Raw genomic sequence first — 26980 nt, 5'->3', positions numbered from 1 at the left:
ACTTCTATTTTTTATCCACACCATTACTAGAATAAAATTCATTAATTTCAGTGCAAATTCAGGAATTTTACGTAACCATTGAAGAAATTTTAATGTCCTACCATAAAATTCTAGATTAACAATTTTTAAAAAAAGACTGAATACAAACTATCTGAAGACATTAATCAAATTTTTAATGTACCAATTTATTGCATATGTCAGTACAGAAAAATAGAAAGTATATTTTAAAAGAAATTTATTGTAAAAAACAAATGTAAATGTTTGCTTGCCATGGTTAGCACACAATGTACTATGACATTCAAATTTGAGTTATAAAATTTTATCACTTCAAATAAAATATGGCAAATAACAAAAATATGATTTACATTATGAAATGGGATTAACTTATTTTATACTGAACATACTTGAATATGTTAAAAACAACTTGAATTTTCCATATACGCTGTACTGACAGAAATAATTATAAATTATGTTAAACACACACTCACCTGTTACATATGTATATACGGCACTTTTTGTAAAAAAGTGTCTCATACATGGTCCTATTTTTAAACTACATTTTAAGATACAAAATATAAATGGAGGTATATTTGCGCCATTTGGCAAAAATGTATAGACTAGTATTAAGATGACTGCATTTATCTTGCCATACAAATGAATATATTATTTCCAATTTGCTAAAACTATGTGTGTATATATATATATAGTATTAAGAATAAACAGAAGTACATTTCATTTTCTACCCTATCAATTTAAAAAATAAATGTCTGTGCTCTGTCATTTCCATCTTTACCTGAGTAATATGAAAATACCTAAATTTAAGTGGATAACCCAAAAGGGTTATGACTAATTTTTCCTCTCACAGTTTTTAAAAATACATATAATTATCAAACATAATAGGAAAATGGGAAAGAAGAATGAGTGGAAGAGTTCAGTATCTCAATCATGACTTAATTAAAAAGTGACTTCTGTGACATCCTTTTTACAAGTTTACCTTACCTATCCCTATCCTCAAGGAGAAAAGGGTCTCCTTAATATAAACTGCTCTTAAGCTATCTGAGCTTGAAAGATAATTTATAAAAAATGAAATATGGCCTTCACTCTTTAATTTCTCCACACCTATTCCCACAAAGCCAAACTTACAAACATAAGAAATTAATATATAAGCATCAGATGGTATGAATTCTCAACAGGTATTACAGCGTAATTACTCCAGTGACATATTACCAAAGCTGTAATCTATGTAAATATCAAGTGTCTACAGGTAATCATAAATTTAAGCAGCCCTGTAGCAAAATTCAGAACACCATTTTTATGAAAATATCCATTTTAACAGTCAAAAACCTAATTGCAAAAACAGGGTTGTTGCAATGGCAAGTGCTCCAGTCACTTTTTGTTAGAAATGCTTTGCATTCAAATGTTTTGCATGATTTCCTTTCACCAATCTCATTAATTCATTATTTTCTACATCTAAATTTAAAAACTGTGTCACACTTTCCTTTCTAGTTGTTTCTATCCTACTAGTATTCTATTACCTGTCACAAATTATTTCTTCTCTTATTTTGCAGAATTCTTTTTAGGGTCCTTTTTATATTTCTTTTTCACCAGTTTTTCCCCCCAATCATTCCCTTTAAAATAATGGATGTGAGATTTTATTCTAAATGAGCTGTATCTTGCCATATTTAAGATCACTCTAGGATCCCCAAATTTATAGTAACTTAATAACTTAAAGTTCTTTTGTAAACTCCTATAGCTGCTCTTGTATAAATAAGTCAGAAGTTAATACACAAGATAGATACATATACTTCCATTCCCACTAAGCAATGGGTCCACAGTAAAGGAGTGACTCCTGAAGAAGTCTCATTTTACTAAAACCAATTGCTTTGGCTACAAAACTAGAAATATTTTCAAAAATGATGCCATGGGCTTCATGGACCCCTGATACTAAGTTTGTTTTCCACCTCTTACCCATCTAAGGAAACAGTCTCAAATACAGATGCTAGTGGTGGTATAGCCCTAGGCACAGCCTCTGCCCTTAGCTGCAGAAAGAAAGGCTCCTTAACCCTAAGAGAATGAAGGTAGGGAACGCCAAACAAGTACTCTACAATTTTTGAAGTCCTGGCTTAAAATTTTAAAAGATAGTTTATAAACCTGGAGTATCAAAAAGAAAAAGCAGCATAAAAGCAAAATACTGATGAAGAAATAGCTTTTATACCTCATGAGCATATTTAGAACTAAAGCTGATAAATTTCTCCCTAGTGTAATGACTGATTACATAAAAACATAAGGTTTTTTTTTGTAAACTTTAAAGAATGATACAAATATAAGGTATGCCATGTAAGCTCGTGTCTAAATATACATTTTGTTGTATTTTCTTTTTAATACATTAATATTTAGAATAGTCATTCTACATAGCAAGGACTGACAAGAATAATCTTTAATTGTGGTGAATTTATACATACAAAATATGCCTTCCATGATATGCATTACCAACTTGTTTTAAAAAGCAAGACTTTTTACAATTAGTAATTTATAGAAAAACATTCTTAGAAATCATACTTGCTATAATTTATTTTTTCTAAATACCGGCATAAAGTGAATAAGAATGCTATTTGGCAAAAGTATTTCTAGCCCTATCTCCATTGAAAGTTTTAAATTAAGGTCAAGATTATTGACCCATTACTTCTCTGTTCTAGTTGCTTGCAGAAAGCCACTAAATATAGCTAAAATATTCAAAATATTATATGTTAAAGCTGACATAATATTACACAAAGCTCAATTACATCTAATTTTTGAGGACTGCATGAAACAACTTGGCACAATTATGACTCATAGCGTGTATTTTTATTAAGTAAATCCTGCAAGTTTCAAGGGGCTTTTTTCTAAGTAAGATTTTCTTACTTTTCTATACATCTAAATCCTACTTCCCACCTATAGCCATTTAACTGCTAAATGTGGTAATAGGTTTTGTGTCAAAAAGCTCCAGAATTCCTTCATTCCCACACTCCTACATGTAAAACTTTTAAAATCAATAAATAAGACTTCCTAAAACTGTCTTTTGATTGTAGGAGTTCTATTTCACAGCAACTGGAACATTAAAACCAAGAACATTGTTTTGTTGTTGTTGTTGTTGGATTTTGTAACTTTTATTTTCAAGAAGTCCAATAAATGATATCTTGCCTTTGATAGGTTAGATATAACTAGGTACTGGGATTTAAAATCAAAGGTGAGAATTTTTATAAAGTAGTATGTACAATCCTGCAATGATAAAAGACTTCCTAATTTAATTCTAAGTAGTGCTAATCTTCACTATGACTGCTATTAGTGGTTCAGCTGAAGACTTACAAAATCGATAGAAGCTAAAATTCTCTTTGCCACCAAAGTTACAAATGTTAAAAAGTTCAAATATGCACATCAAAGCTGCAGTAAAATTCTAAATTTCTATTTCTACATGCCATGATCCAGACTGTACCTAACAAAAACACGGTACATTTGTATTGGAAAACAGGGTCCCATTTATTTGTAAGAAAAAGCTGGATCTCAGCATTCACCAGAGCAAAATTCAATGGCAACCTGCACATAAGTCTCAATTTCACTTCTTGCCAAAAACAAAATAGAGTTTACATAAAAATAGATATAACCCAGATAACCATATACATCAGTATATGACCAGTGCTATTTACATGTAAAATGTTGCATTGCATAATTCAAGGAATAAAATACCATCATGCATTTCATTTAACTTTTAAGGTGAAAAATGCAGTTACAGAACTAAGTTTGCTTACCATGATTGTCCCAATATTTACTTAAGAAACAATACCCAAAGGTTTCTTGTTTACATATCTCTTTCCACATCTAGCTATTCATCTGTGTAACAGATTACACCACTTTAGCAACAAGAAACTTTTGAACAATATCTATTATACTGACATATTAAACTGAAGATATGAATACATAATCACACTGAAAGTTTTGATGAAAATGTATGAAAGAATCCCAAGAATTAGTTTTTCCAATGTAAAAAACTATTTGGAATATCGTAAAGGAGCAGTGAAGTCCTTTCAAAGTTTAATGTCACTCTTCAGACAGGTACAGACATAACACACTTCTAAAAGGAACATTCTTTATCATTCTGCACAAATTAAAATACAATGCAATAATCAAAAAGGGAAACATTATATAATTGTTACATTAGATGAAGTTTTTGCCATTTCTTCAGGAGAATGGCTCTTTACGACTTCTTTGATGAACTGTTCAAGTGCAGTGAAATAGCCTTGGCACTGCCATGTGTCATTGTGAGTCCCATCTGGAAAAATGGCTAATCTCTTAGTCCGAGATGGGGAGAGTTCATAAAGTTGTTTCATCATTACTGGTGGAATTAATTGATCTGAGAGTCCAGAGATGAAAAGTGAAGGCATTCTACACTGAGAGATTTTTCTGTAGGACAAAAATTTATTTTTGTAGCACCATAAAGGAAGGTAACGCATCGGAAAGAATGAAAATAAAGTGCTGGCCATATGTGGTATGCTTAAAAATGTGTTCTCCACCATAATGGCTGAAATCCTATGTGAATTTTCAGAAGCCAAATGAATAGCCACTGCTCCACCCAAGGAACGGCCAAAAAGAAAAATTTTTGTTTTATCAAGGTCAGGTCTAGTCATCACGTAGTCTAACACAGCTTCAGAATCTAAGTAGAGTCCTTCTTCACTTGCTTCTCCTTCACTTTTTCCATATCCTCGATAATCAACCAGCAAAAGGTTAACTTTGAGGTTAACCAACATAAGTAATGCATTTGGCAACCTGTGACCTATGTTGCCTGCATTCCCATGAAAATAAATTATAGTTGGGGAATAGGGTGAATTGTCTCCAGTGTATCGTATCAAAATAAGATTCAGACGTATTCCATCTTTGGTTCTGATGAAAATGTTTTCATGTGGAATGCCAGTGGGCATGGGAACATAAAGACGTGAAGAGGATGGCTGTTCTGGAAAATAAAGCAATACATCCTGGAATTTATACAGAATACCTGCTATTGATATGAATATTAACAAAAGTAAGATAATGCCTCCATACAGATGAAAAGTCACTATTAAAGGTAAAAGAGAAATACGGCAGAGAGCCCAAGACCATGAAGCCAAGGCTATTAGCCATCTTTCAACAAAGTTCCACAGCATCCAGGACTTTTCCATTGTAGCTCTCTGTAAGTATCCTAGAGAGAGAGAGGGAGAATATCAATAATTCAACGTCTATCTATTCTTTTAAAAATCCACAATATAATAAACTATGGTACTAGGCCACATGTAATTGTTAAATATGGTAATAGGTACAGTCCATCCACAAAAGTAGCTGCTATAATTTCCCTTGTCCTTTCTGTTCTCAACAGTTTCCTTTCTACCATATCCCTCCACTGTCATATTTAGGAAACACTAATATTCTTCAAATTAACTCATTTTTAACAAGTGCTTATTCTTCATATACGTGTTCTCACGGATTTGACCCAAAAAAAGTTGATGCGATAGTGTCATTTTTTTTTTTTAATGAGAAAACAGAAGCTCAGGGGCATAAGTAGACTGGCTATCATCTGCTTCTCAATGTAGAAGAGCTGGGAGGCAAACAAGCATGATTCTAGAGATTGTGGTACATCTGCTGTTAGGTTACGTATGTCCAGGGCAAACTGTACTGAAAAGGCAGTTCAGAAATTCCAACATAGCAAGACCAATCTAATATACTTTGTCAATTTTTTTCACATACGGTAGCAAAAACTAAAGAAACTAGGGTAAGGAGTTGGGCAAAACAAAATAAAACAAAAAAAAACAACTAGGGAAAGAAAGAATAAAAGTATCCCCCCTCTACCTCGAAGTTTTAATACTAAACTTAAATAATTTGCTTAAACACTAGATTCTAATATTGTATTAGTTTTAAGAAAATTATTAATGATTTATCTTTCATATGTAATTAAAAATAAATATCATATTGCTAGTGTCATGAGATCGGCAGTATCTTTTATATACTCTTTAATGAAGTTTCACGTCCTGGGGTCAATAGATTGCTAAAATGTATTGATAAGGCAATAAATACTTGAGGGTTCAGTGTGAAACAAATACACAGAAATCCTCTGAGAAACAGAGATAAATAAAGTAAAATGACTCACTGGAGAACAATTCTTAAAAAGATTACTAAAATATGTTAACTGATATAAAGAAAGTAAAAACTATTAAAAGAGAATTTTTTGTTATCAAAAGGTTTATACATGTTGTCTTAAAAAGGCAAAAGAATTGAGATATGTTACAAATTTTCTTATGTACTATTCGTCTACTTATGCTTATTTACTGAACTTTTAAAAATACTACATTTCCTTCTTTCCCACTGACCAAACTGCTATAAAGAGGTTATAGATTGATTATACAAATAATGAGTTGGATGATTTAACAAATTTGATTTTTTTCTATTATTTCACTAAACATAGACTTTTACATTTGAATTATTATTCAAATGAACTGAACCTTTTTGAGCATAAACCAACATTTTTCTGATTTCCCAGAAATCAACACTGCCACCCAGTGGTAGCAAGTTTTATTACAGTATCACATCCTCCCTGAATAACTATTTATCACTTATTTCCAGTCTCAATTGCCTTTTCAGTAGAATGAGTTTTTAAAATGCTTACCTATGAGGCTGGTCATTAGTATCAAGTAAGATTAATAATGAGATCATTCATAAATGTTACAGACATGTTAACTTTATTTGCTTTTGTGACTGGTATTTCTGGCTCTACTACTTTCTTACTGTGTTCTGCTCAAATTAGTTCTTACTTAAAAAATTATATAAAACCAGATAAAATAGCTCCAAATACACGAATAAGGCATATTTTAAAATTTGAATCTTATATTTACATTTATATCAATTTACATAGTTAAATTTTCAACTAATGAACTTTGAAAAGTTATTTTCGTTTTAGTAGCCTCTAACATCTAATTTTAGCAAATACTGAATTAAAATTTATAAGACTAGGAATTGTATATCTCTTTTTCACTATTGCATCTCTAATATCTAGTACAGCACTTTATATATACTTACGACTAAAACATTTTTAAAATAATCTAATTACATATACGAATTATTCAATTTATTTTAAAAAAAGTATTCTGAGCAGTGGGCATATATGTTTAAAACAACATCAGAAAAATGGGCGTATTTGTTTGGGTCTATTACTGGCTAGGAATAATAAGGGATAAACTTACCGTTTTCCACAAAACATTCCTGAAAAGTCACATTAACTAAACTGTTTTGTGATAAACAATCATAATCTCACAATCAGTTGTTGCACTATGGAAGTCGGAATAAAAGTCCATTCATCTTGAGTAATATCAAATGGAAGTCATTTTTAAGAACAGGTTAATAAAAATTGCTCTGGGGTGGCGGAGTGCGTGGGTATGGGTGTGTTTTCTCCTTAACATATTCTTATATTGCTGGTTTAGAGTAAGAACTCCACTCACGGATTGCCTTATTTTTACCTAACCCCACTTGCTAATAATCTCTGTTCCCTAGTCTGTATGATATATATTTCCATCTCAAAGGTGATCTTAAAGGAACCAGGACAAGTGAACAATATCAGGAAGGATTTTTAATTTACTGAATTTGCTGAAAGTATCAGCAAAGCATAATTACCATGCACCATCTGCTGAGATGTAAAAACAACTTCATACCCAGATGTTATGACAGTCAATAGAAACAAACACTGCCTCTAATAAAGTCGACTGCATGGATCCTACAGCCAGCATTATGTTTTCTATTGATTTTGTCAATAAATTAGTGTGAGTAAACGGTTAACAAAACCTTTCTCCCTCTTCAGATAAAAAATGACCTCTCCTTAACCTTCCTGCACTGTTTCCCTGGAAACCTGATAAAGGTGGGATATCAGCTGTGTTTCTAAGCAACAGTGTAGTAAAAATGGCTCCTACTGATGAGCTACATCTGGACTGAGAGGACAGTGAGCAGGGCTAAACATGCCCAGTGGGAAGTATAAACAGGGGCTTTTCTGAATTGAATACGACCTGTAATTGGCTTGTCATTTGCTTAGTCCTGGATGCTATACTCACATGCTGTCACAAAAAGACACTGTTTCCTGTGGAGCATGAAGCAGCTAAGCCAGGGTGGTGCTCACTCCCACCCTTGTGTCATTTTCCACTAGACCTGAGCTATCATCTGGAACAATATACCTAACACTGACATGTTGGGTTTTCAAAAAAGCAGAAAGGCTGATGCACAGTACGGTCCACTATGGTATACTGGGTCTTGTGAGTATCAATGTCCAATTGACCCCAAGACCACTGCTACTAGTCATGAAGAATGAGTGAAGCAATCAAGTATGTCCCATGTGGTAAAACACCTATAAAACGTGTCTTCAGAGGAGATGTATTATTTGTTGGGTTCTTCTGCATGTGAAATCCATTTGCTGATAACATCTTGGCATCATAAAAATCAGGAAAAAGGATGCATTTAATACACTCAAACTTATACCAACTAGAAGGGCTGCTGAGTAGGAGAGCCAATTAGACCTGTTCCATGTAGAATATAGAAATGTAGATAATCAATAACTTCTCATCTTCCAGTCTTCTTTTACATCATTATTGTATGTATTTTTAACCTTATGTCTACATCTTAAATGAATACCTGACAGTCCCATTTCTCAATTTTCTGTTTGCTATGTTATCAGATCTGGTATTACATGTCAGACATTTCTAAAACCCACCAATCTGTGGTTTTAACCACCGCCAGTAACTCCTTAACCATTTACTATCTGAGAACTTGCTGACTGACTTCTCATAATGATCTCTCATACAATGTAAACTTCACTTTAAAATAAATCTAGTGGATTTTTCTCAATCCACACTGCAACACCAGACCCCCAAAGTGTCATCTGCTATTGGCTTCTCCTCTACACTCAAATTGCTGTTTCTCTCTGCCCTATACCCCGAAAAGCAGGCATTTTCCAAGGTCTTCTCCACTCATTTAGGATACTATGTTCTTTCCCTCAGTGATTTCATTCCTTTTCATGGCTCCAATTATCACACCTGTGTATGAATTATTCCCAATCTACAAGTCTACTCTTCATCTACAATCTCAATTTACCTGTTCCTCACGTACCTGATGCTTCACTGATATTTCAAACTTATCCAAAACTAAACACATCCTGCTCCCTTCCCAACGTTTTGCAGACTTTATGCTAATTATACACAAAAAAAGCATGATGTGTAAACAAATACATTTTTTAAAAACCCAGGATATGTAGCTAAGATTTAAGTATTACAGTTTATTATAACCTGTACCAGTCTTGTATTTGAATGAAAAAAAAATCAACCTTAGAAACAACTTTTGTGCTTTCTAAATGAAGTGGTTTGAGGTGTCACATTGATATTAGTGAGTGTGTCTCAAAAAATAATCTACTGAAAGCATAACTAATCTTTATTATCATGTACTGTATAAATTAGATATGATTGTTTTCCTTTTACAAGAATGGTTTTGCAGTATTAGTGACATCCTGCTATACTACATAAGTAGTTTGATCATCTGATGCAATTTAATATATGGTGCTCATCTTGAGGATTTATGGTCCTAATTGGCTGGTTGTAGTCACCTCTAGTGCTCCCTACTTACTGTCTCTAAATTTAAGTCCATGACGGGTATACAATAAACAATTTGAGACTAAAAATAAGAGCCGTCTAGAACTGTAAAGCTCTCAGACCACCTTGCTGGCTAACAGTGTTAGCTGGATGGTAAGTCAGCTAAGGGCATGAGTGATGGCCATGCTTCTCTGATGTCTACTAATCATCTCCTGTGTTCATATAGGATCACGAATGGTTCCATTTTTAAGGAAAAATATTTCATTTAAATAACTATTTTATAAACTGATGCTTTAGAAAAAGAGATCAATATTGAAGTCATGCCCACTACGAATGGTATGAGTCCTCAGAATATCACTGCAGGCTCCCAGGGGAGCTGTGAAACCCAGCGTGGACCACTGAAGCAGGCCTACAGTTGATTTCCCAGCCTCTTCCGTAAGAGATGGTCATCAGATTCCAATGCATCCTAGTATACTATACAGTCCTTGCTCTCAAGTAGCTTGTGATCTACTCAGTAACGTTCAAGCAACTCTTGAGGTACTCGGGAGACAGATATGGATATAAATAACTACATACCTAACGTAAGTTCATTTAATTATAGAGCAGACAAAGAAAAATCAAAGAAAGATGACAATTGTCATTACATATAGCAAAGGAAAATCAAAACCTTAGCTGTATCTTTCCTTCACAACATAATTTTAGTAGTCTCTGGATTTCATCAAGGTTGATTACTTAGAGAAACCAAGTGGAAACTTATGCAATGTTTTAAAAGCAGGACAAAACATAACTCCAGGATTAAGAATCTCTATTACTTTCCATCAAACAGCTGTCTGTGACACTTATTTTTATTCATTTAGCACGATTATTCACAGAAACTGCAAGTATTCAGCATAATCTAAATAAATACTTGGCAAGGATAGCATAGAGGAATTTAGAGCTGTTAAACTGGATGAACTTTGAGGGCTCTATTAAATCTGAGATCTTTCTATGCCAGTGGTTCTCAAAAGGTGGTCAGAAACCTGAGGGTCCCCAAGACCCTCTAATGGGGTCCACAAGATCAGTATTATGCTCATAATAATACTAAAATATCATTTACTTTTTTCACTGTTTGACACTTGCACTAATGATGCATAAGCAATGATGGGTAAAATTGCTGGTGCCTTTGTAAGAATCAAGGTAGTGGCCTCACGTGTTGGAGTCACTGTATTCTTTATCACCATGAGCTCACGGTAAATGAGGGAATAATCCAGTTTTACTTAAGAATGTCAAAGAAGAAGCAGTAAAAATTATTTTATCTCAACTAACAAGTACACATCTTTTTAACACATTGTGTGACAAATGTGTGACAACACTGGAAGTGCACATAAAGCATTTTGTGCTATGTATTGAAATACATTTGAATTGTGAGCTGAACTAGCTGCTTTGTTCAGGTAACAACATTTTTATTTAAAAAGACAACTGACAAACTATGGTTGTTCAGACTTAGAGGTTTGGCAGATATTTACTAGAAAATGAATGAGGTTGCCAATAGCTCCTAGACACTTAAGGGACCTTTTTGATGGCACTGTGGTAATCTATTAATATTAAACATGTCACCATTTGGAAAAATCTGCATAACTCCATAAACCAATATATTCCAAATGACCAATGAATGGTGTCACAAAATCAAGCAAACGTGAGTAAAAAATTCACTACAAACCAACAGATTTTGATGTAACAAGAGACAACAATTTCTCTGATGTAGGTTTCAGATGGCACAATATAACTGACCTTTAAGGAAGTGCCTCCTGTTGGGTGATGGAGTCGTACCAACGAGTACCCACAATTCTCTACTACAATACTCTTCCCTTTACAACTACAAATTTGTGTGAGCCTGACTTTCTTCATGTTTCACTTTAAGAGCCTAATAATCTGCCTGTCTTCTATGAGGCAGACATTAAAGATAATTACAAAAATATAATCCCACACCTCTATTTTTTGTAATTACAATTGTTTTATATAAAATTTTATTTATGTGAGTATGTAATGAACTTACTACTGCTATTTTTAAATGAATTAAAACTTCCAGTTTTCCAATTTTAATTTATACACTTTATAAACTTCCAGTTTTCCAATTTTAATTTATACACTTTATAAACTTCCAGTTTTAATTTCTAACACAATAAATATCTATATAATCCACATACATACAAAAAAATCTTTGGGATCTTTACATTTCTAAAATGTAAACGGTCTGAGACCAAAAAGCTTGAGAACCACGGTTCCATACTATTTAACCATATAACTGTATTGCCTTATGCCCCAGAGACTTGCCTTCTTCAAATTAAGAAAGATATATTACATTTTTTTAAATCCTTTCTGCATTATAACATATATAAATATATTTAAGGTTTTTACCCAGTAATATTTTCTCCAAAAACTAAAAATAAATAAAAACTTATATATATCAAGAACTGAAACTCAAAAGTATAGGAGTAAATACATTGTAATTATTGCCGTAAGGTTAGTAGGAGAATAAATTAGACAAATCTATTGTATCATAGATAACATTTTACAATAAAAATTGTATTTTAATGAAGGTCAGAACTGCCCTACAAATTAAATTCTAGTTATTCTAATTATTTTTAATTAAAAAGTGTACATTGGGCCAGGCATGGTGGCTCATGCGTGTAATCCTAGCGCTTTAGGAAGCCAAGACAGGTGGATTGCCTGAGCTCAGGAGTTTGAGACTAGTCCGGGCAACATGGTAAAACACCGTCTCTACTAAAAATTACAAAAAATTAGCCGGGCATGGTGGCGCGTGCCTGTAATCCCAGCTACTAGGGAGACTGAGGCATGAGAATCACTTGAACCCAGGAGTCGAGGTTGCAGGGAGCTGAGATCGTGCCACTGCACTCCAACCTGGGTGACACAGTGAGACTATGTCTCAAAAAAAAAAAAAAGTGTACATTGTTTTGCATATTGTATATCGAGTTACGGATTCTGCCACCAGCAAATGGTCTTTTAAAAATACAAAAAAGTGCATTACCCATAGTGAATTACAATGAATTTCCGAAAAACAATTTGGCAAAAGGCTAAACAATTTCAAATACAATTAAAAAGTCCTAAGTCATAAAGGCACTATTATTTCTTTAAAGATCTTTAAGTCCATCCTAGATTGATAATTTTGGGAACAGCTTGTTTAAAAATAAAAACTGTTCATACATTTAAAAAAAATGTGCAGGTTCAAGTGAAGACTGTAAAAAGTGGAAAGGGAGTTCGTGTGTCAATGCCGACATCCACATCCCAGCAGAGAATGAGGACCCCACACCCCATGGGCTCATTAATTACTCTGGGTGAATCACAGCTTCCAATCACATGTGAAGTAATGTGGAACTCAGATTCAGTATTCTTATATCAATCTCTCTCCTCTTCTGTTAAGCATTGGGAAGTTAAGAAACCATGCCAGCTGCACAGCTGAAATGGAAACACAAATAGCTGCTATCAAGGTGTTGGAGACACCACAGAATGAATTATCTATTTCCCTAATGGTTACCCACATGCCATCAATAATGAAAAAGTGTGTATTAATAGTCCTATGGGACAAATGAACAGTAACTGCCTATGGAGATGCTGGATAATAACTGGATGGTTCAGACAGCATCTTTAACTAGGATTTAAATCTGTATGAGCAGATAGCTCAAAAATTATACCAGGCAGCTACTTAGTAGCTTTTTCATGCTTGAAAATCTTGGCAAATAGAGTCAACTCTGGCAGAAGTAAAATGAGAGATTATTGTTACTATGGAAGCCAACCACAATTTGTTCTGAGATTATAAATATCTGAAATGTTTAAAACAAATCCACTAGCCTAAAACTGTAGTGATGTTAGACTGATAATGAAATTCACAAAGTTTCCAATTTATAAATGGGCAATGTTCTAAAACTTTACCTATAAACTAGATGGATGAAACTTAGAATATTTGTTTTGTATAAAACCAGTGTTATATAACATTGAGTATGTGAAAGTAAGTACAACTAGAAGCCTTACTAGAAGTATCTAGATTCTCAGGCTAGCTCATAAATGCATGTAGTCCCTGTACTGGAAATACTACATCTTTGCAAGGGATTTCAGCAGAATATACTGTTGTAGGAGTTCACACCATGTGAAACAGAAACATAAAATATAATAATGTATTACAAAATCTGTCATTTGAGGAAAAATATCTTACTTAGAAGAACTAGAGCATCTTTTAAGTCCACACGAAAAAAGGCTATTTAAAGGTCTTAAGACTTTCCTGGGGCAACTAAACAAGGATTAGAAAGATTTCAGAATCTGGGTAATACATTAAACAGAGAAACAGAAATAGATTCCCCTGAGATAAGTTATGAGAAGAGATCATGGGAAAATGTTAGATCCAACAGTTTCCTGCACCTATCACTAAGTTATATTGTTAGCCCAGGGCAATTTGGTTAGTAAACCCTCTTATCCACATGCCAAGAGGTCTTTGATGTGCCCAAGAAGAGGGCAGTGTGCCAAGGGCTACCTGTAGGTACCTGGCTTGCTTTAATCATTCCAAGTTAACTGTCAGTGGGAGGCAGTGTGGTGCAATGGAAAGGAGACAGTGTTTTGAGTCATGGTCTGTTAAGAGATAGGTAGCTTTTGCCAACTCACTTAGCCTCTCTAAATATATATTTCCTCGTATGTAAAAGGAGGATGAAAGATTAAATTGAACTACTGTTGAGATAAAATGTAATAGTGTGTTAAGTGCAGCTACTTCTATGAGACAAAATTTAAATTACTTAATTATGTACTATAGCAGAGTATGTGAAAGTAAGGACAACTAGAAGCCCTATTAGTCCTAGATCAAATAATGGATATGATTCCCTAGAGGTACCGTATCTGAACACAGGAAGTAATCAGAGCAATGCACTCTTTCTCTGTTAAAACCAAACTCAGGTAGTAGATCCTCTAGAAAGCTTTCCTTGGACCCCTATTCCCTCCTGCCACCCATTCCACATTCTGTAGTTTGTGCAAACTTACGTGGCAGAAGTTACTATTACAGCGTAATTAACCTGCTTACACAGGCTGTGAGTTCCTCGATGACAGAGACCTCGTCCTATTCAACTCTACATTTTCTGTACGCAGCAGTGCCTGATGCATAGTGGGCCTCTATTAACGATTATTTAATTGAGCAGCTGATGTCTTAGGTAGGATATCATGACATTAACACTAAATCGGCAATCAAGAAATCTTACACAGTAAAATAAAATTTGATATTTTAGTCAAAGACGAGTGATTTCCCTAAGCATGCATACAAATAAGTATTGATCCACGAACCCCCTCCCGTCAAAAGAGATCAGTGAAAAATCCAATATCAACACACAAAGCCAATATACTCATCTCTTTCTATCCAGTTACTATCACATAGTAAACATAAATAAGAGTTGTTAAATGGGGACGGACTTTTTTTTGGTTTCGATACCTTGGGTAGTAATACTAGTAATTCATTTTACTTAAATGTTGACTAAAATCTACAGCAAAATTGACTTCGATTGTATGGGGTGCTTTTTTGATGTTTCCTGAATAACCCCAGAACTTCCTGTCATGATATTCACAGGTCTAAACCTGTTACTGTCGTGATTAGATCGGGGCTCTCCCTCTCTCCAACCTAGTAGCTGGAATTATTCTATTTTACTTTTCATGTCTGTGTGGGAGGGTGGGGGAGCGGAGGGTTGGATTTTAGGGATCTTAGGTTTGTACACATTACTGGAAATACAATTGACATAGAACACTAAGATACGTTTTAGGTTCCAATTACAAAACGACACCCGGCGAGCCTCTGGCAATGCGCGCACCTTAGTTTCCAAAACAGGTATTTGGCTTCAGTTTGCTTCCCCTGGTGAGTGGTGAGCGGAGTCGGGGCGGCCGGCAGGGCTGCACCCCGGGCTGGTCCTCCACAACCCCCGGCGCTCGGCCCCCGCACGACCCCCAGGGGAAGCCGCACTAGCCCCGGGGCTCCCCCCACAGCCTCCCGGGAGGGTTTCGCGCCCGCCTGGAGGAGCCGGCGGCTCCCCGCGACCCTCCTAGAAGGAGCGGACCGGCGCTCGGGCCCCGCGGGCTCGGGGTCCCCGAGCCGCACTTACTCAGACTCGCGGACAGGCTGCGCAGTCGGCCGCGGGCACGAAACCGGGCGCCGCGCAGCAGCGTACCCCCGCGTCGCTTCCGTCGCTCCTCATCATCCTCCTCCAGCCCAGGGGCCGCTGCCGGCGCCACGGTCTAGCCCGGAGCTCCTGCTGCGAGCTGTGGCCCCACTTCCGGCCCCCGCTCGGGTGTCGCCGGCAAATGCCCCCGCCGGCTCCCACATAACCTGTTCTCCGTCTCCGCTCCCGGAGTGGGAACCCTGCCCGCTCTTCCGAGCATGCGCAGAAGCCGCTGCCAGTGAGCCCCCGCGACGGTGGCCCGGACGGAAAAGATACCTCGGCGGCGTGGGCCCGGCTCCCTGCTCCAGGACCTAGGGATCTTGGCCTTCCACCCTCCTCCGAGCACCAGGACTCCCTCCAGTTCCGTACCCGAGGCCTCCGTGGTGAAGAGGTGCCGGACCCGATGAGCTCGGGAGTCCACCATCGCTCTGCAAGCCGCAGGTTTGCGGAGCAATTTGTTCTGCCTGATAGGGTTGTTAAGGGTGTCGCAATGAGGTCCACGATTTAAAGCGCTTCCATAACTATTTTTCTCCTTTTACCTCTACGAGAGTGGACTGTCAAGGGCGAATGCAGGTTTTGTGAGGCCTGAACCTTGTGCCATTTGGAGAGCCCTTTTAAAGAAAAATAATGTAAAATTGTCTTATTTTTGCAAATTTTACCGAGGTACACGACCATGGGAACACCTCGTTAGGGCCCCTCTCAAGGCCTTGGAAGTGTTCGCAAAAATGGGCCCTTAAAACTTGGGCTTCATTAGCTTCGCTGTCAACCCCCCTGTGCACTGAAGTGTACACACTTGTTTACAGATGTGTGCCTCCCCTCCCTTGGGCTTTCCTTATTCTATGTCCCCTATTTTATATATACAGAGGATATTTCATAAATCTGTGGGTTTTTTTTTTTTTCCTTTTGAGATGGAGCCTCGCTCTTGTCGCCCAGGCTGGAGTGCAATGGCGTGATCTCGGCTCACTGCAACCTCCGCCTCCCTGGTTCAAGCGATTCTCTCGCCTCAGCCTCTGACCTAGCTGGGATTACAGGTGCCCGCCACCACGCCCCGCTACTTTTTGTTTTTGTTTTGTTGCTGTTTTGAGACGGAGTTTCGCTCTTGTTTCCCAGGCTGGAGTGCAATGGCAAGATCTCGGCTCACCGCAACCTCCCGCCTCCCGGGTTCAAGCGATTCTCCTGCCTCAGCCTCCGGAGTAGCTGGGATTACAGGCATGCGCCACCACGCCCAGCTAATTTTGTATTTTTCTTCAGTAGAGACGGGATTTCACCATGTTGGCCAGGCTGCTCTCAAACTCCCCACCTCTGGTGATCCACCCACCTCGGCCTCCCAAAGTGCTGGGATTACAGGCGTGAGCCACCAGGCCCGGCCTAATTTTTGTATTTTTTAGTAGAGACGGGGGTTCACCATGTTGGCCAGGCTGGTGTCAAACTCCTGACCTCAAGTGATCCGCTCACCTCAGCCTCTTAAAGTGCTGGGATTACAGGCATTAGCCACTGGCCCGGCCTGTGGTGTTGTTGTTATTGAACATATGTGTCTTGCTACCAGATGGAGAGCTCCAGGTCAAAGCTGGGTTCTTGAATCATAGCTTCCTAATCTTGATCACGGAATAAGTGCCAAGCATATATAAAGTAGACCATTTACATAAATAAATTAATAATCATGGCAACTCTAGAAGATACTTAGTGAAAAAAACCCTTGATTGTCTTTGAACCAATCAACTAAAATAACATGATGAAATGGAGACTGGGCTTTGAATCAATTTGGAGTTTGCCTGGTTTCATAATTCATGGTTCTTCTCATGTAACTAATACAAAGTCCAGCTTCTGACATTGTAGGAGCTCAGTAGAGGTTGAACAAGCTACAAATGTACACGGATAGGTACCCTCTCCTAAGATGGGCAAGTGGAGGCTCCTCTACCTTAACACTATTCATTTTTCCTCCAAAATAAATTGATAACTAAATTGAAGAGCAGATACTCACAAAACAATATCATGAGACTTTACAACATCACAGATGATTTTAGATATTCAGGCATATTAGGTCAATTAGACATACGAAGTAAATAACTGAATGTTCTTGGGCTAGACGGAACCTCCGCTACAAACTAGCACTGAATGAAATGTGTCAGTTTTGAAAAAGGAGGTTTTTATACATTACACAACCTCTAAGGGCACTTAACAGCTCTAATATGTTTTATCAGGGCCCACTGCAGCAAAATTTATTTTATTGTAAAGCAATATTTTATGCTAAAATAAAATAGTTCTAAAAGTTGTTTCCACCCCTCTTTATGAATAACTTCTCACTTCTCCATGGCGAAAGAGGACTGACCACAGCAAAAATTCGGTGGAAACCAACAGCTCCTGGAACACAAAAACTGGGGTTGTTTATAATCTCTCCACCCTGAATATCTAGCACCATTACTATATAATAATAGGTGCTCAATAAAGGTTTGTTAAATAACTTTATTTTTAAACCTTAAACAGATACTAGAAGAGTCCATAGTTGATTTCTGGTCATGCAACGGTTTATTTCTATATTGTAAGTTATGTATTGTTATGTATTATTTCTGTATTAAGAGAACTGAGACCACAGTAGCAAACATCATTTAAAAAAAAAAACAGCTCTATATAGTTTGCAAAAGCCTATTTTTTAAAAGTTTAAATGAAACAACCAACGTTTTGAGTTGGGAGGATGTCCTGTTCTCTCTTGGGAGTTTTCACAACCAGCGAAATCAGTATAGTTACCACTGTTTTACGTACAGAGAACAAGAATTAGAGGCTATCACTAGCCAGAGCACAAAGTGATCTTAGGTCTCCCTCGAGACAAAATCCACTGGCGTGTGGATCAACTGCTTGCAGAGAGCATCTGCTGCCGAGGCCAATAGGAGCCGTGTGTACTCAAGACCCTAACCAGGATCCTGCAGGTCCCGCCTCCGCAGCCCCACGGGGCTGCCGGCCCCCCCACCTCCCATCGCGAGCCTGGCTGCGCCGGCGTGCTTGAGCCCGGTGACTGCAAGGCCCCGGGTCTCCCCTGCGCCTGCGCGGCGAGCAGCTGGCGGAACCGGCATCTTCTGGCGCCAGCTTCCGGCTTAGCGGCTGAGCTTCAGGCTTGACGTCAGGTGGGAAGGGTGTGGGGTGGCAGGTGGGGGCGGTTGGGAGGTTGGGGGGGGTTGGGGTGGGGGGGGTGGGGGGTGGCAGATTGACGGTGTGGGGGGAGTCAAGTGGAAGGTGTGGTCCAGCAGGCGGCGAGAAGTCTGTGGGGCAACAGACCGGGGGAAGGTCTGTGGGGCGTCAGGCGGGGTATCTGTGGGACGTCAGGTTGGGGTCTGTAGGGCGTCACGTTGGGGGTCTGTGGGGCGTCAGAGGGGGGAATCTGTGGGGCGGCAGGTGGGGGGTGTTCGGGGCGGGGTTTGGGGTGTGTGTGGCGGCAGGAGGCGGGGGAGGTCTGTGGGGCGTCAGGTTAGGGTCTGTGAGGTGTCAGGCGGGGTTTACGTGGGGTGGCAGGTGTGGGGTGTGTGGAGAGTCAAGTGGGGGGTGTGGGGCGTCAGATTGGGGGTCTGGGGGATCAGATGGGTGGTGTCTGGGACGTCAGGCGGGGGTCGGGGGGTCGTCAGGCGGGGGATGTGTGGGGAGTCAAGTAGGGGAAGTGGGGCGTCAGATTGGGGGTCTGGGGGATCCGGTCGTGGGGGTGTCTGGGACGTCAGGCGGGGGGCCTGAGGGGCGTCAGGTGGGGGGGTCTGGGAGGCGTCAGGCGGGGGTCGGTCTATGGGGGCAGCAAGCAGGGTGTTTGTGCAGCGGCAGGTGATGGGAGTTGCCGAGTCCACAGCGCTGTAGACTGCGCCGCATTAGAAGCCTGGCCTCCTGATGCTGTGCTCTTCATCTAGACCCAAGCCCCAGGTCGTGGGACGATTTCTCCCGTTTTTGACTCCCTGGAACTGTATTGCCTGCTTTACCTGCGTACATGTTGATTCTTTCTCATGGCAACCCCGCAGGAAACCATCAAGATCTCATTTTACAGCTGGGATTCTCTGGTTCACAGAGGTAACGGAGCTTGCCCGAGGCCAGGTATTCACTGGGAATCCGTGAAGGGTTGGGGGAGAGTAGGGGGAACGGGCAGAGGAATGATGTAGACTCCTTAGGGATTTTCCATTTTCCGAGAGGGTACAGGGGGCATTGGAGCGGGAGAGACTTTAGGCTTGGAGGGAATTACTTTATTTCTCTTCTTACACTTGGTCTTTCATTAACTTTTGGGATCCCAAAGCCCTTCTAGCGTCTTTGTCTGCTCATTTCTTTTTGCTGAGATTGTCCCAAATTGTCACTAAGTGCTGTGGAAGATAGGCAGCTGTAAACCCTTTGTTTCCTAGGGAAACACAGCTTGTCAAGGGTTGCATGAAGGATACTTCAGTTGCATTCGTCACTTACTCCTTTTTTTCCTCTCTCTTTTTTAAGTGCAATAGCATAGCACTTAATCACCTTCCATAGTCACTGAATAAAACCTGCCGGTTTATTTTCATGTGTCACTTCAGGACAATTTAGTCAGAACTGAATGAATGATGAATCGTTATTGTGTACTAATTGCTTGCATTCATTCTCCTGAAAGCTTTGCTTATTGTTAAAGAGTGAAGCTTCTTCCCACCTTTTTATCTCGTTAATATTTTGCAATATTTATATTTTAAATGTTGCTTGGATCAGCAAGCATTATAGTATTAAAATTATCAAGACTTACTACTTTTTAAAGCACATTTTGTAGATTATCTGATTTTTATCTTCATTCTAATTTCTACATAGTTTTTAACCCCATTTTATACTTTAGGAAACTGAAGCTTAGAGAAATTAAGTAATTGCCCAGTATCACACAGCTGTTAAATGTTACCATCCACATTTGAACTCAGATTTATTAGAGTCTAAAACCTGAGCCCTAACCAGGAACCTCCTCATTTGTCTTACTGCAAATGGAATGAATCAGCTAAAATCCTCAGAATCCAAAAAATAAAATTAGCATGTAAAAATGAATGGAAGTCCTAATCTTTGACTTTTTATGCCGTTGTAATGAGCAAAAATACTTACGACTAGTTTATGGCAATTTTGGAATCCTTGTTATAGGCGTAGCCATTTTAGGATACATGTGTATCCACACCATTACCTACATTTTGTCATTATAAAGTAATTTAAGTCCTTGCCTGGGATTTGTTGAGCGAAACTTTAACTTTGAGACCATGTAGAATCTATAGATATATCTGTAGAAACTATATACCAATATTTGAATATTAAAGAAATATTAGTTAACCTACTTTATTTTACATAGTTTATATAGAAATTGTAGATATAGCATTGTGTACCCTGTTTACTCCCTTGAGGGAGCAAATTTTGGGAGATAGGGCAGTGAACATACATAACCAGGTGTTACAGTCAGTTATGCAAACCAGATTCAGAGAGAGGAAACAACAGTATATTCAAAGATAAAAGTTTCAGGAAAGTGGTCTGTCATGCGTTTATCCCTCGATCTAACCCACTCAGTAGAAGCTGGGTTTCCTTTGTCAGAAATTAGACTGAGAAGTGCACCTTTTTTCTCTATAGGCCACCAAATGGCTGTTGTAAACCATTGCCAGGGCAGTCAGAGCTACTGAATATTTTTAACCAAACTGAATCTCACCCACTGTGTGTCTGCGTGCGTGTGTGAGTGTGTGGTATGTAACCAGACCATAGCTTTCCCTAGTGTGCTTATCCAGGAGTCAACTCTAGGTGTTCAGTAATTCATTCAGCAAACCTCCTACATGTCTGCCACTAGAGCACAAATTACAGCACAATTCCTGGCCTCTAGATACTGACAGTATAGTAAATGTAGTATTGTAATTAGCCATTTGATTTATTTTACTGGATACTAGATAATGTAGCCTTGTGCATGTGTGTGTTGCTCATTTGTTTGCGAATTGGAAGATGGGGAGTCACATATTTTCTGCACTGTAATAGATCTCCCCACTCCCAGCAAAACTTCTCCAACTCCACTGCCTGGGATACATGGTGGTGTGCCAGGAGGGGTCTGAAACCACAGGATAAAACATAGTTTCTATTCATGGACCATACATTTTACTTGAAATCTTTTTTTGGAAAAGTTATTTAACATTACATAGTTTAAACCATATTAAAATTACTCTAATATATTTATCTTCCAGTAGAACTTGTATGAATATTTAAAACTAAAGAAATTTACACTTGTGAAATTTTAGGAAATATTCTTGCCCTAGCTTAGCAAGGTACCCATTATTTCTTCTCTGACTTTAGCAGATACTTTAGGGAAAAGCTCTCCCCTCAGGACATTTTACGTTTGTTTTATTTTGTTAAAGCACTTGGCATTTTATTATACTCAGTTTCCACTACACTCCCCCCCTTTTTTTCTTTTCTTTTTTTTCTTTTTTTTTTTTTACAGAATATATTTTCTTTTAAAGCAGAAACATGCAGTATTTTCCCCTAGCACAGTGTATGTAGCACATCTCATATGTAGTCATTAAATACTCAGGGAATAACTGGCATGGAAATATGAAAAAAGCAGCATACTAATAAATTTATACTTATAAGACAGTAAGTAACTATGGTAAAATAGATAAAGTGAGGATTTTATGGGTAGGGCATTTTGAGTTGGAATCGAATGCTGGTGTGATTTGGCATAGCTAGCAGTGAAGAAGTGAAAGGAAACATAGACGTAGGCTTTGTTTGGCTGGAAGAAGAGGGTACCTGTTTTTTCCTTTGTTTTGTTTTTTGGTCAAGGGCCCTGCCTATGATTAGGATTTCTAGGAAGTCAAATTTCAGTTCAGCAAATGAGTGATTTGTTAAAAATATCTGTTCGAAGATCAAGTTCATTTCTGGTGCTATGTGGTAGTCTGACAGGGAAAGAAGAGACATACATGAAAGGCCTTCCCTCAGAAGCTCAGAAGTGAAGTGAATTAAGCCTGATGAGTTTTTTTGTCACCATTATTAGCAATATTTGTTTGTATTATGTGCTAAATAATTAATACATAGAATAACTGGAATTTAAAGAGAAAATTAAAATGATTTCTGTATTATAAATACAGGAAATACAGCTATATAGCTGATGATACTTTTCATAATAACTTCAAATTAGGGTTGGAGCAAAACAGTTATTAAATGTAGAGGTTGAAAAGATACATCATTTAGAGCATTGATCTTTTTTTTAGTAAACATTAATAAACATTTATTATGATCTCAGTGATCTTTGTAAGATCTTTACATTAAATATTTAGTTGAATCTTATCTTTTACTTAAAGTTATTCTCTTTTTGCTTTACTAGTTAAACGAGAAGATTCATCACCGCTTTGATGGCTGCCTCACAAACTTCACAAACTGTTGCATCTCACGTTCCTTTTGCAGATTTGTGTTCAACTTTAGAACGAATACAGAAAAGTAAAGGACGTGCAGAAAAAATCAGACACTTCAGGGAATTTTTAGATTCTTGGAGAAAATTTCATGATGCTCTTCATAAGAACCACAAAGATGTCACAGACTCTTTTTATCCAGCAATGAGACTAATTCTTCCTCAGCTAGAAAGAGAGAGAATGGCCTATGGAATTAAAGAAACTATGCTTGCTAAGCTTTATATTGAGTTGCTTAATTTACCTAGAGATGGAAAAGATGCCCTCAAACTTTTAAACTACAGAACACCCACTGGAACTCATGGAGATGCTGGAGACTTTGCAATGATTGCATATTTTGTGTTGAAGCCAAGATGTTTACAGAAAGGAAGTTTAACCATACAGCAAGTAAACGACCTTTTAGACTCAATTGCCAGCAATAATTCTGCTAAAAGAAAAGACCTAATAAAAAAGAGCCTTCTTCAACTTATAACTCAGAGTTCAGCACTTGAGCAAAAGTGGCTTATACGGATGATCATAAAGGATTTAAAGCTTGGTGTTAGTCAGCAAACTATCTTTTCTGTTTTTCATAATGATGCTGCTGAGTTGCATAATGTCACTACAGATCTGGAAAAAGTCTGTAGGCAACTGCATGATCCTTCTGTAGGACTCAGTGATATTTCTATCACTTTATTTTCTGCATTTAAACCAATGCTAGCTGCTATTGCAGATATTGAGCACATTGAGAAGGATATGAAACATCAGAGTTTCTACATAGAAACCAAGCTAGATGGTGAACGTATGCAAATGCACAAAGATGGAGATGTATATAAATACTTCTCTCGAAATGGATATAACTACACTGATCAGTTTGGTGCTTCTCCTACTGAAGGTTCTCTTACCCCATTCATTCATAATGCATTCAAAGCAGATATACAAATCTGTATTCTTGATGGTGAGATGATGGCCTATAATCCTAATACACAAACTTTCATGCAAAAGGGAACTAAGTTTGATATTAAAAGAATGGTAGAGGATTCTGATCTGCAAACTTGTTATTGTGTTTTTGATGTATTGATGGTTAATAATAAAAAGCTAGGGCATGAGACTCTGAGAAAGAGGTATGAGATTCTTAGTAGTATTTTTACACCAATTCCAGGTAGAATAGAAATAGTGCAGAAAACACAAGCTCATACTAAGAATGAAGTAATTGATGCATTGAATGAAGCAATAGATAAAAGAGAAGAGGGAATTATGGTAAAACAACCTCTATCCATCTACAAGCCAGACAAAAGAGGTGAAGGGTGGTTAAAAATTAAACCAGAGTATGTCAGTGGACTAATGGATGAATTGGACATTTTAATTGTTGGAGGATATTGGGGTAAAGGATCACGGGGTGGAATGATGTCTCATTTTCTGTGTGCAGTAGCAGAGAAGCCCCCTCCTGGTGAGAAGCCATCTGTGTTTCATACTCTCTCTCGTGTTGGGTCTGGCTGCACCATGAAAGAACTGTATGATCTGGGTTTGAAATTGGCCAAGTATTGGAAGCCTTTTCATAGAAAAGCTCCACCAAGCAGCATTTTATGTGGAACAGAGAAGCCAGAAGTATACATTGAACCTTGTAATTCTGTCATTGTTCAGATTAAAGCAGCAGAGATCGTACCCAGTGATATGTATAAAACTGGCTGCACCTTGCGTTTTCCACGAATTGAAAAGATAAGAGATGACAAGGAGTGGCATGAGTGCATGACCCTGGACGACCTAGAACAACTTAGGGGGAAGGCATCTGGTAAGCTCGCATCTAAACACCTTTATATAGGTGGTGATGATGAACCACAAGAAAAAAAGCGGAAAGCTGCCCCAAAGATGAAGAAAGTTATTGGAATTATTGAGCACTTAAAAGCACCTAACCTTACTAACGTTAACAAAATTTCTAATATATTTGAAGATGTAGAGTTTTGTGTTATGAGTGGAACAGATAGCCAGCCAAAGCCTGACCTGGAGAACAGAATTGCAGAATTTGGTGGTTATATAGTACAAAATCCAGGCCCAGACACGTACTGTGTAATTGCAGGGTCTGAGAACATCAGAGTGAAAAACATAATTTTGTCAAATAAACATGATGTTGTCAAGCCTGCATGGCTTTTAGAATGTTTTAAGACCAAAAGCTTTGTACCATGGCAGCCTCGCTTTATGATTCATATGTGCCCATCAACCAAAGAACATTTTGCCCGTGAATATGATTGCTATGGTGATAGTTATTTCATTGATACAGACTTGAACCAACTGAAGGAAGTATTCTCAGGAATTAAAAATTCTAACGAGCAGACTCCTGAAGAAATGGCTTCTCTGATTGCTGATTTAGAATATCGGTATTCCTGGGATTGCTCTCCTCTCAGTATGTTTCGACGCCACACCGTTTATTTGGACTCGTATGCTGTTATTAATGACCTGAGTACCAAAAATGAGGGGACAAGGTTAGCTATTAAAGCCTTGGAGCTTCGGTTTCATGGAGCAAAAGTAGTTTCTTGTTTAGCTGAGGGAGTGTCTCATGTAATAATTGGGGAAGATCATAGTCGTGTTGCAGATTTTAAAGCTTTTAGAAGAACTTTTAAGAGAAAGTTTAAAATCCTAAAAGAAAGTTGGGTAACTGATTCAATAGACAAGTGTGAATTACAAGAAGAAAACCAGTATTTGATTTAAAGCTAGGTTTCCTAGTGAGGAAAGCCTCTGATCTGGCAGACTCATTGCAGCAGGTGGTAATGATAAAATACTAAACTACATTTTATTTTTGTATCTTAAAAATCTATGCCTAAAAAGTATCATTACATATAGGAAAACAATAATTTTAACTTTTAAGGTTGAAAAGACAATAGCCCAAAGCCAAGAAAGAAAAATTATCTTGAATGTAGTATTCAATGATTTTTTATGATCAAGGTGAAATAAACAGTCTAAAGAAGAGGTGTTTTTATAATATCCATATAGAAATCTAGAATTTTTACTTAGATACTAATAAAATACATTTAGAAACTTTTAAAGTCATGAAAAAGCATTAACCTTCTAAACAGTATATTCTAAAAAGTCAAAACGTTAACAATAGTTTTTATCTAATAAAAGCACTGCAAGAAAATAGGGTAGAATTGTTACAGCTGGACTTGTAAAAATATGTCTTTTTACTCAGGGTTTAAAATGTCCCATTTAAATATGAAATGTAAACAAATTTGTTTTTTAAGGTTAAGGCCAAATGTAACAATAAAACCCTGTCGATGGTTTTAGCTAAATTAGAGGAAGTTGTATGAGACTTAATGATCTAAAAACTTAAAATTGAATTGGTTTGATTAAAAATAAAGCTTGCAATTTTAAAAGTAGCTCACATTTAATTTCTTGTGTGAAATAGAACATGCTTTAAAGGAAGTATTTTTATGTGAATTTGCATTCCAGTATAAATAGTATTCACAAAAAAGATTTTCCTAGATTTTATCTATTGAATAGGTGTCAATATGGCATGCATATTGTAACTTTCATTAGAAATAAGTTGCTTTGACTTTTAAAAATGACATAGTTAGATTATTTAAAGTCAATGTATATAGTATATATTATGTATGGATTTATATACCAAATTTTGGAATACAGCCTATCTCATGACCATATTGAAATGTACGGAATTTGATCCATGCGATACTATGTGTGCATTATTTGAAAGTTATTGGAAATTTTATTCAAACCGTGGAACAAATGTATGTGATTTTGTTATACTTCTTAATTTAAATAAAATATTTAATGCACTATTAAAATAATTTCTTATGTT

The 26980-nt window shown here is 37.5% G+C and overlaps 2 protein-coding genes across 14 annotated transcripts, besides 4 other annotated features; one reads left to right on the top strand and one right to left on the bottom strand.

Moving 5' to 3' along the window:
• Positions 1-164: 164 nt before the first annotated feature.
• Positions 165-16016, bottom strand: ABHD13 (abhydrolase domain containing 13). 2 transcript variants are annotated; one of them, NM_032859.3, is made up of 2 exons: positions 15749-16016; positions 165-5209 (listed from the first exon to the last, which is right to left on the bottom strand). In NM_032859.3, the coding sequence occupies exon 2, from the start codon at positions 5187-5189 to the stop codon at positions 4176-4178; it is 1014 nt and encodes a 337-aa protein (NP_116248.2). In that variant the 5' UTR covers positions 5190-5209; positions 15749-16016; the 3' UTR covers positions 165-4175. The 2 variants fall into 2 exon arrangements, with proteins under 2 accessions (NP_116248.2, XP_011519430.1); XM_011521128.4 differs by lacking the exon at positions 15749-16016 and adding an exon at positions 15461-15668.
• Positions 15494-15733: a silencer, noted in NCBI's record as "silent region_5495". NCBI's record gives its function as "represses an Ori minimal core promoter by ATAC-STARR-seq in GM12878 lymphoblastoid cells {active_cell/tissue: GM12878}" and the evidence as "EXISTENCE:reporter gene assay evidence [ECO:0000049][PMID:35858748]".
• Positions 16014-16343: an enhancer, noted in NCBI's record as "active region_7987". NCBI's record gives its function as "activates an Ori minimal core promoter by ATAC-STARR-seq in GM12878 lymphoblastoid cells {active_cell/tissue: GM12878}" and the evidence as "EXISTENCE:reporter gene assay evidence [ECO:0000049][PMID:35858748]".
• On the top strand, positions 16059-26966 carry LIG4 (DNA ligase 4). 12 transcript variants are annotated; one of them, NM_001352600.2, is made up of 4 exons: positions 16059-16246; positions 18665-18924; positions 19798-19870; positions 23112-26966. In NM_001352600.2, the coding sequence occupies exon 4, from the start codon at positions 23140-23142 to the stop codon at positions 25873-25875; it is 2736 nt and encodes a 911-aa protein (NP_001339529.1). In that variant the 5' UTR covers positions 16059-16246; positions 18665-18924; positions 19798-19870; positions 23112-23139; the 3' UTR covers positions 25876-26966. The 12 variants fall into 12 exon arrangements, with proteins under 12 accessions (NP_001339529.1, NP_001339527.1, NP_001339528.1 ...); NM_001352598.2 differs by having other exon boundaries at positions 19690-19846; NM_001352599.2 differs by having other exon boundaries at positions 19690-19870.
• Positions 18653-18947: an enhancer, noted in NCBI's record as "tiled region #13792; HepG2 Activating DNase unmatched - State 1:Tss, and K562 Activating DNase unmatched - State 1:Tss". NCBI's record gives its function as "activates a minimal TATA promoter and a strong SV40 promoter by Sharpr-MPRA in HepG2 and K562 cells {active_cell/tissue: HepG2 | K562}" and the evidence as "EXISTENCE:reporter gene assay evidence [ECO:0000049][PMID:27701403]".
• Positions 18670-18809: a silencer, noted in NCBI's record as "silent region_5494". NCBI's record gives its function as "represses an Ori minimal core promoter by ATAC-STARR-seq in GM12878 lymphoblastoid cells {active_cell/tissue: GM12878}" and the evidence as "EXISTENCE:reporter gene assay evidence [ECO:0000049][PMID:35858748]".

This window comes from Homo sapiens, chromosome 13 (assembly GCF_000001405.40).
Source record: "Homo sapiens chromosome 13, GRCh38.p14 Primary Assembly".
NCBI classification, from domain to species: Eukaryota; Metazoa; Chordata; class Mammalia; order Primates; family Hominidae; genus Homo; species Homo sapiens.
This window is presented reverse-complemented; position numbering and strand designations above follow the sequence as displayed.